Source organism: Homo sapiens, chromosome 2, assembly GCF_000001405.40.
Source record: "Homo sapiens chromosome 2, GRCh38.p14 Primary Assembly".
Classification (NCBI taxonomy): Eukaryota; Metazoa; Chordata; class Mammalia; order Primates; family Hominidae; genus Homo; species Homo sapiens.
Genome location: NC_000002.12, coordinates 170,330,718 through 170,340,262, shown reverse-complemented (window position 1 = coordinate 170,340,262; position 9,545 = coordinate 170,330,718). Strand labels below are relative to the sequence as shown.

Sequence of the window (9,545 nt, the reverse complement as noted above, 5' to 3'; positions counted from 1 at the left end):
TGATGAGGTCCTAAATTTAATTCCTAAAAAACCACTAAAGTTATAGAGGCAAAATGAGAAAGCATAGCTCACAAATACCTTGTGACCAATGACTTGGTAAGTATTTTTGTAGTTGATTCCAAAGACCTGAAATTAGCTTGAACTTAAAAAGAAAAGTGACATCCATTAGGACCAAGGTGAAGTTGACAAAATGAAAATTATTTTTATCTTATCAAAAGGCTACTTCTGAATGGAGCCTCCTGACAAAGCAGAAGTCTGGCTGGTACTTGAACCAGATAAACTTGTTATGCAAATAGCTTTAGTCGTAGGGGAAAGGGCTGATAATGAAATCTCTACAAAGCCAACCACACATTATAGAGGTGACAAAACACATCAAGCAGGGTCCTAGCATATGGATGAAAAGCAGTGCAGAATTTATGTGAGCATTGCATTTAATTTATCATAACTAAGCTGTCAGGAATCATGCTTTGACAAACGCATAACTAATGAATATAAATGAATCAATTATCACTAACAACCAAAGCTTCAGAACCAAACAGGCTGATGCTTCTTTTAAAACCCCCAAACAGGTTTACTAATAGTATTTCAGACTTTTAGATGTTTTAAAAAATCTCTCTTACTATCTCTAAATTAAGGAGGCTGGAAATAAATCTGAAACACACTAAGCCACATCCCCAGTGCTCCTGATTTCCTGCCTTCCTGGCCCTCCTACACGCGTATGCACGTGCACACACACACCCCACTGTGCCCTGTCTACATAGCTATAATCACTAGGCTGCAGCCAGACCAACTTGTTCAGATCCCTGCAGCAGTCAATACGAAATCTTTTGGTGGGTAGTGACCAGCATGGACTAAAAAAGACCTAGAGTATTGAATCGACTCTGTTACGGCTCAGTAGTCACATGAGGACAAAGTATTAAAGGTCTTAAAGCCGTTAAGGAACTTTTTGTCCTATTTATTCTTTAAAGAGAAACAGTTAGATTTACTATGTCTTGGTTTACAAAGGGAACTGAAGCAATTATCTGTATAATTCAGGTTAAAAGAAACTTTTCCTAAAATTACCAGATAATCATCTTCTCCAGCCCAGTCCCTCCAATAATGAAAAGCTTATAATCTGAAGGTCTTAATCCTCCATCTTTCTTTCCCTTGACTCCTAATATGAGCAAGATAAGTATAAAAACAAACTAAGGCTCTCTCTTTAAATAGACATTTCAAACCCAGTGAATATCATTGTTTATACTGAATTAGAGATTTGAATAAATATAATGCACAGCATTTGGTCAAACTGCATTTGATAGGCTGAGTAATGGCAGCCTAGTATCAGCAGTCTCCTCTACAGAATGAAAGGATATTATTTGGGGCTGGGCTCAGTGGCTCACACCTGTAAATCCCAGCACTTTGGGAGGCTGAGGTGGGCAGATCACTTGAGGTCAGGAGTTCGAGACTAACCTGGCCAACATGGTGAAACCCCATCTCTGCTAAAAATGTAAAAACTAGCTGGTCCTGGTGGCACACACCTGTAATTCCAGCTACTTGGGAGGCTGAGGCACAAGAATCATTTGATCCCGGGAGGCCAAGGTTGCAGTGAGCCAAGATCATGCCACTGTACTCCAGCCTGGGCAACACAGTGAGACTCTGTCTCAAAACAAACAAACAAAAAAAAGAAAGTATATTATTTGGGAATGGTGGGCAGGCTTCTATTTAAAGATATATAATATAATAATCAGTTCCCAATTTTGAGAAATATTCCCAAAAATATTGCAGAAGAATTTATGGTTGAAGCACCTAAGATGTTATGGGAAAACAGGATTGGAGGGCTGAGGTCAAGAAGGAATCTATAAACACCTATTATATAAAATTTTTCACTAATAAAAAACCGTAAAGACAACTCATTAAACAAAAAAGAAGACTGATGACATATTTCCATCTTAAACTAGTACTAAACCACATAATCACTTAATTTCTAATTGCCTTCCTGACTCATTATAAACTTTCCAGACTCTCCCTCCCTTGCAATTACAACAGGATGCTTTTTGCTTTGCTCCTGACAGTATGCATACTCAAAGGCATTGTTTTCTGTGTTTAGCCCTCCATTCTAGTATTCAAGACCTTTTGCAACTCAGAATGAGTGCATCTGAAATTCTCAGAATTGGGAAAAACATAGCAGATTTGAATTGGCATATAATAGGATTTGCCATAAGGAACTATCTTAGGGAGGAATTTCTGCATAGTTGACCCTTGAACAACATGGATTTTAACTGCATGGATGCACTTATACATGGATTTTCTTCCACCTCTGCTAACCCTGAGACAGCGGAACCAACCCCTCCTCTTCTTCCTCCCCCTCAGCCTATTCAACGTGAAAAAGATGAGGATGAAGACCTTTATTATGATCCACTTCCAAGTAATGAACAGTAAGCACGTTTCTCTTCCTTATGACTTTCCTAATAACATTTTCTTTTCTCTAGCTTACTTTATTGTAAGAATACAGTATATAATACATATAACACATAAAATATGTATTAATCAACAGTTTATGTTATCAGCAAGGCTTCCAGTCAACAGTAAGCTATCAGTAGTTAAGGTTTTGGAGAGTCAAAAGTTATAGGCAATTTTTGACTTCATAAGGTGGGGGGTAGTCAGCACCCCAACCGCTGCATTGTTTAAGAGTCAACTGCGTTGTGTACAGTCCAATCTCTGTCATCAATTATATACCTTTATTCTCAAATCCATCCAAGGAACACCGAGCTTAGTTTATGATTACGAACATACTCTTGAAAAAGTATACAGAAGCCAAAGTTTTGTGAGTCAAATCACATTTTTAGAGGCATCAGGAGAGTTTGGTATGGGAAGGCATATTAGTGAATATGTAATGGATTTTTCTAGGACAACAGCTTAGACAAGGTCAATCAAGGGTATCTGTGTGTGGCAATGAAATGAAAAGGAAAAATCTTTGGATTCAGCCTTTACCAGCAAAATCATTGGAACCTTAGCTCCCAGATTTGTTTCCTTGGGGTGGTCTGAAATGTGGTCCCAAGCTACCAGCATGTCTTCAGCCCTTTAGTTCCCTCCACCTACTCTTTTGGGTCCCAAACCTCTGGAAGTGGCTCTTCCACTGCTCTTATGTGAGCATCATCCCTCCTACAAGTATCTGTTTTTCCTCTCAACATGGCCTGACACCATCACCTTTGACTGGTGGCTGCTCCTAGTGCATTCTGCAGCCAGGACAAAAATGTCAACGTGGGGCTAAAGGGGCAACGAGATACCCTCCACCCCTGACCTTCAACTTCATGGTCATGTTCCAACACAGTCTTTCTTAGCAGGGGTCTTTGAGTTCTTTTCCACTCCCCTTTCCTGAGGAACATGGCAAAAGTCCAGGAGGGATAGGAAAAGCAAACAAATTCAGGGACCCTGAACTATACTACATTTGAAATGAAAATGAAACTGAAATATAGGTTCATAGCTGTTTACACAAACCCCCTGGGGCCAAATGTATTTTGGAATTCAGAATTTTATCAAATTTTACAAAGGTAAACTGGTACATTTACTGTATATTATGTAACAGCCCCAGCAGGATATGGGGCAGCACACTATAATCAAACAAATATATCTGCTGCCAAACACATGAATATTCACATCAAGTAAGATGAATAACAACTATAAATAGCCTCACAGTTAAGGTCATATGTTACCATCAAATCAGTTCACATAAGGTTAGGTTTTGCTGCTAAATGACTCAACTACAAAAGAACTTTTATCTTTCGGAGCTCTTTGGATTTTGGAAATACGGATAAGAGATTGTTGATCTGTATTGTGATTTATTAAGGAAGATGATCAAAAGACCCACTTTGCTTTATTGCCTGGCTTCTTTGTGAAAGCTAAGTTTGCACAGAGGCATAAATTAGAAAAATTTGTGTTGACCCTTCCCCACTTCTTATTTATCAGCTAATTTGGTCACTTCTTTTCTCCTCCCACGACCTCTGAACACCTTGTTTCATATACTAGATCCTACAGGACTTCTTCCAAGCTCCTCTGCCTTGGTATGGTTGGTAATGCCTGGTCTAGATTCCTGTCCCCTCAATTCACCAGGCCCCTAGCTTGGGGCCCTGTAACCTCCTCCAGTAGTCTGAGTATCTTTCTCAGACTTAGGACCAGTGTGGTCCAAAAGCCCATGACCCCAGCACTGAGCCACTATTGGTTTCACTGTTGATTCTGCTCCTGTCTGAGTCCCAGCAATACTTGCCTAGTGACATAGCTCCTACCAGGTATGTCACACCATCATCTTGGCCTTCATTTTGTTCCTCATACCTTGAGCCTTGGCTGGGATACCTTACCTTGGTACCCCAAGCCTGAGATTCTACTTTGTCCCTCTATCATCTTGGAAACTGGACCCTTGTTCCCATGCCACAGATCCTAGAGGAAGCCCAACTTTCACACTGCAAAAACTCTGTTGGAGGCTGCTACCTTCTGTCTTCTCTTTGGTCCTAATGTAGGCATCAGATTTTTAGATGTTTCATCTCTCCCCATTAAACATGACAAGTTGTCAATATTTGCCCTAAGACAAAGTAGGTTCTCAGATAAATGTGACCCATATGATAAGAAGGACTTATTATAACTGAGAGTCAAATGGAACGCCTTACTTTTCACATCTTGCAAAGGCATCTTCTATCATTTACTAGAACAAACCCCGAGTCATAACGTGCTAACAGGCATAACAACCTCTAGTGTCAAGTAAATTCCACAGCCTGGATTTCTCCAATCACTGCTCAAGGCCTTGCTAGATGGGCAATTTTTAGTGGAAGAAATACTCACTGTGAAATAAAGTGGTTGAATTCTTCACACCATTTTTCTGGATGAAGTAAAGTAGGTGGAGGATTTCTGAAAAAATAACAGCAATTTTTTCTTAAGAAAGAAGAATTTCATTAAAGGCAAAATATCAACTTGTTTTTATTGATATCATTCTAAATAGCTCTAATAAAATCTGTTTGTTCTCATATGAGAGTCATTTTTTAGTGGTAGATTATAAAGTGCCAACCCTTATTCCTGTAGTCATTCATTTTCATTGACTGAAGACCTACTATGTCCCTGGCCTTCTCAGGACCTGTGAAAGTTACAAAGATCAGGAACATTCTTCAAGAAGCAGACACCCTAATGAGGGGTGAGGCAAGCACACAAACTACTATAACAGAGCTGAGGATTATTAGTGCTATAAGAAAGCTCTAAACATAGTGCTAGGGGCTTTAGTGAAATAGACGTTTAATTGTACAGGATTTTCAGATCATTATGGTACCATTTGGATTAATTATGTGATGCATTTAAAGTGTACTCATAAATTCATAGTCACATTTTTAACTATCTCCTATGTATCAACTTCTGCAATAAGCACTGGAGAAAGTCAGACAGTCAAAACAATGTCCCAGACTCCGTGAAGTTCCTGGGTAGAGAAGGAGACAGACATATACCATACCTAATAATTGGATGTCCGAGAGAATGAGAGAATGGCAGAAAGAACTTTAGGTAAGCAGACAACCTCTTGGTGAGAGGGCAAAAAAAAAGAGGGGTGGGGATGGGGTAAGAGCCCTGATTTGCTTGAATACCACGAAGAGATCTGATTTCAAAACAGAAGTGACTATATTACCTTTAATTGATGAGACTTTTTTCTAGCAATACATGGAAATAAGGGCTTGTCGGCAACTCAAGTTCAGAAAATGAAGAAAGTGACAGTTCTGCACACATGAATTATGGCTGTAAATTTTAAAGCCATCATATGTGATCCTTGATTTTACCTTGATTCTAACTGCTTCCTAAAGCCATGGATTGCTCAGATTCAATAGGCAGAGGAATGGGAAGCAGCAAGAATTACCAGAAATAAATATACATCAGATAATGTGATCGCAATTTGCCCCTCGATATCCATTATCTTCTCATTTCTTATAGTACAATTTTTATTTCAGCATACTGCTGCCGTAATAAAGATTACAATTTCTTGAGTTCCTTACGGCTAGATGTGGTTCTGTGATCAAGTTCTAGTCAATGATATATAAATAGAAGTATTATATGGTATTTCCAGAAAGTCTCCTTAAAAGAGGGGAGACATGCCATTCTTCTCCTTCCCCCTTCTTTCTTTTTAGAGCATGGGTATGATGGCTAGAGCTTGAGCAGCCATTGTGGACATCAGATGAACTTGAAAGTGAAAACTATGAGCTGAATACGACAAAGCAAACAGATAGAAAACTGGATTCATTATGACATTGCAAAGCTGCCAGACCAGCTCTAGTCTGCTTCCCCCTAATCTTCCTTACTAAGAGAGAGAAATAAACTTCCATCTTCTTCAAGCCACTGGTACATGCAGCTGAGTCTAATCCTCAGTCAGATAACCTTTCCGAGTATTTTCCTACCATATGATTAGAACATAATATGGTAAGTGATATACTAGAAGCACAAGCACCATATGTGGGTAGAATAATTAAGATGCTGCTTACTCAATCTAGGGAGTCTCAAAAGACTTTATAGAAGATAAACTTGAGCTGGCTTCTGAAAATTAGATTGGATTTTTCAAGATAGAGAAGGAGAGTGAAGCCATTTTAGGCTCAGAAAACAATACGTACCAAGACACAAGGATGTAAAAAAGCATAGTATGTCCAAAAAACCTAATTTGTTGAGGCTAGACTATATATGATCTTTTGGATCTGAAGAGAGAGCAGGGGGGAAGGATAAGATGAGAAGGAAGAATGATTAGAGGAAGGAGATGATTTATCTGTTCTGCATACGAATTTAGTTACCCTTCATATCTTATAATTCAAAAACCTATAAATTATCTGTGTATTACCCAGAAAGAATAGCAGTTAAATTTTTTTCCCCCTTCTGCTGGATCAGAGACAAAGGAGGAGGCTGCCTCTTTATCTCATTCACTCCATTCAACAACATATGCCTTCATCTTTCCCTAGTACCACCATCACATAAGTTCAGCTTCAGTCCTAGTTTGACTGAGCAGTTCTTACTGCCTGTGGCTATCTGAGGTTTTACATGCCCTGCCAGCTCACCTCTGTGGGCAGCTTTGGTGCTATATCTTTCAGTGAGTCCGTTATCCTAGATCATCTCTACAGCCGTATCCAGGATTTGCACTTTCCTTGATCTTCTCAGGTTTCCTGATCATTCTGTTCTAAGGTCAGTCCCACAGAGAAGAGCTGCTTAAGCAATCTACTGTCTAATAGACTTCATTCACCCCCAAAGCAGTTCACCATGACTAAGTCATTTGTAGAGAGACTGAGTAGATTTGACTGAAATGACACTAGTAGGCTCAACACTGGCCAGCCCAGCAGGGAAAGGGCATCTCTCTTCTATAAGTAGAGAGTGACCTGGCAAGGGTCCAATATGAAATGGATGGTGAATATCCACTTTAGTATAGAGAACAATGTACCCTCCTGTTTTCAGTCTCTTTCTCAGCAGGAAATATGCAAAGGGGTATTGTTTAGTTGTTGGCCTGAGGAGAATGGCAGCAAACCACCACTCACCCAGGTCACCACCAACCCTCTATGGCTTCACATAAACACCACACAAGGAAACATCTTCTTTGAAGCCCAGCATCATAGCAAGTTGGTTAAGAGAACCTCATTTGATCCTGTAAATGTCCTGCCTTTCCTGGAGTTCATCCTACTTTGGTTCAGTAAAGCAAGATCTTGTGAAAGATTATTATCTGATATAATGAAAACCCAATGAATTTGAAGACTTCGCAATACTTTGTTTGGACTGGCAATATAAATTCTAATTCTCTCACAACCCAGAAAGAACACCAGTGAAGGGAAACCATGTAGGTTATTCTTTTGTTTCATTTGTGAGTGCTCCTCTCTCTGTTGCAGCTAAAACATTATTGATCCCAGAATCCTGTTTTTCTCCCTATTCTCTTCCCATTCCATGCATTCACTGAGGGCTTACTGTATGTTGACAGCTTCCTAACATGCCTTGATTTCTTGTCTGCCTTTTAGCTGGTGCATCTGACTACTTACTAGATGGTTGCATTTTGATTTCCCAGAGACATCTTAAGGTCAACATGTTCAAAACCAAACATCTTCCTTTCTTAAGGCTGCATCCCACCCGGTTGTTGAAGTCAGAAACCTGGATTCTACATTCTCCCTTAACCCCATATCCAATTAAAGCAGGCAGAATAATGGCTCCCTCAAAGATGTCCACATTCTAATCCTCAGAACCTATTAATATGCTACTTCATATGGCAAAGGGACTTTATTTATGTAATTAAGGTAAAGGTCCTAGAGACGGGGAGGTTGTCTTGGATTACCTGGATGGACCCAACTTAATCACATGAGTCTTTTAAAGTGGAAGAGGGAGGCAGAAAGAAAAAAGAAGAGGCAGGAGAGATTCAACGTATGAAAGGGACTTAACCCGTCATTGCTGCCTTTGAAAATGGAGGAAGTGGCCATGAGCCAAGGAATGCAGGCAGCATCTGGAAGATGGAAACGGGCCTCAGCCGATATCTAGCAAAGAAATGAGATCCTCAATTCTACAGATGCAAGGAAATGAATTCTGCTAATAACCTGAATGACCCAGAAAATAAATTTCCCCTCAGCCTTAAGAAAGGAGTACAGCCCTACTGACACCTTGATTTTAGCCCACTGAGACCCATGGCAGACTCTAACTTAAAGAACCATAAGATAACAAATTTGTGTTGTTTTCAGCCTCTAAGTTTGTGGTGATTTGTTATGACGGTAATAGAAAACTAATACACCAATCAAGTATCAAGTCTTCTCAGTTCTACTTCCTAAATCCCCTACTCATAACCTGTCCCCTCTTTCACATCCTAGTCCAGTTACTCATCATCTCATACCCATACTACTCCAATGTCCTTCTTGTTTTTCTCCTTCCCTCTACCTTATACCCCTCTAATCCCTCTTGTACTTGGTAGCTGGAATTTCTTTATAACATAAAAATATGACCTCATGGTTTTCTTCCTCAAAATTCTTCAGCAGATGCACACTGCCAGAATGATAAAATGTTAACTCCTTTGCATGATATATACAAATGGTCTTGCCTGCCACCTACCTGTCTACTTGATTTCATCTTAAATCACCTGCTCACCAGATGCTGTAGCACTGTGCTGCACAGTACTTGTAGCTCCAAAACAGGTCCTATTCTTTCATGCCTCAGGGCCTTTGCACATGATGTACCTCCAGTTTAGAATACTCTCCCTAATTTGTCCACCTGGCAGGCTCCTACTCATGTTTCATGTGTATCTATAGTGCCCAGCACAGAAATACTCGGTAAATTTTTTGAATGAATTCACACAAACATATACATGTTGCAGGTAGGCCAAGAAATGGTGATATGACAAAATATGACTTGGTCTTCAAAGTAGCATAAAATTAGACAAATATGGAACAGCTCTTTCGGAAATCAGCAAATTCCAACTAAATTATTCAGAGCAAGCAGGTTTGAAGAATAAAGGAGTATTGACTTGATTTGGATTTGAAAATATAAGCCTCATTCCTCTACTTTTGAAGCCCAAATGTCGCCAGGTCCCTGAATATATA

The 9,545-nt window shown here is 39.6% G+C and overlaps 1 protein-coding gene and 1 long non-coding RNA gene across 9 annotated transcripts in view; one reads left to right on the top strand and one right to left on the bottom strand.

The window, feature by feature from the left end:
* MYO3B (myosin IIIB) overlaps positions 1-9,545 on the bottom strand; it is a 477,021-nt gene that overhangs the window by 314,905 nt on the left and 152,571 nt on the right. For all 8 annotated transcript variants that reach the window (NR_045682.2, NR_045683.2, NR_045684.2 and 5 more), the window contains exon 8: positions 4,813-4,878. Coding sequence is in view for 5 of the 8 variants with exons in the window: in NM_138995.5 (NP_620482.3) it covers positions 4,813-4,878 (66 nt within the window). In the remaining 3 variants the exon portion in view is untranslated. The remainder of the gene's footprint in view (positions 1-4,812; positions 4,879-9,545) is intronic.
* LOC124906090 (uncharacterized) lies at positions 15-6,335 on the top strand. Its single transcript, XR_007087292.1, has 4 exons — positions 15-96; positions 2,350-2,414; positions 5,384-5,517; positions 6,132-6,335. It is a non-coding gene; the product is annotated as an uncharacterized LOC124906090 (long non-coding RNA).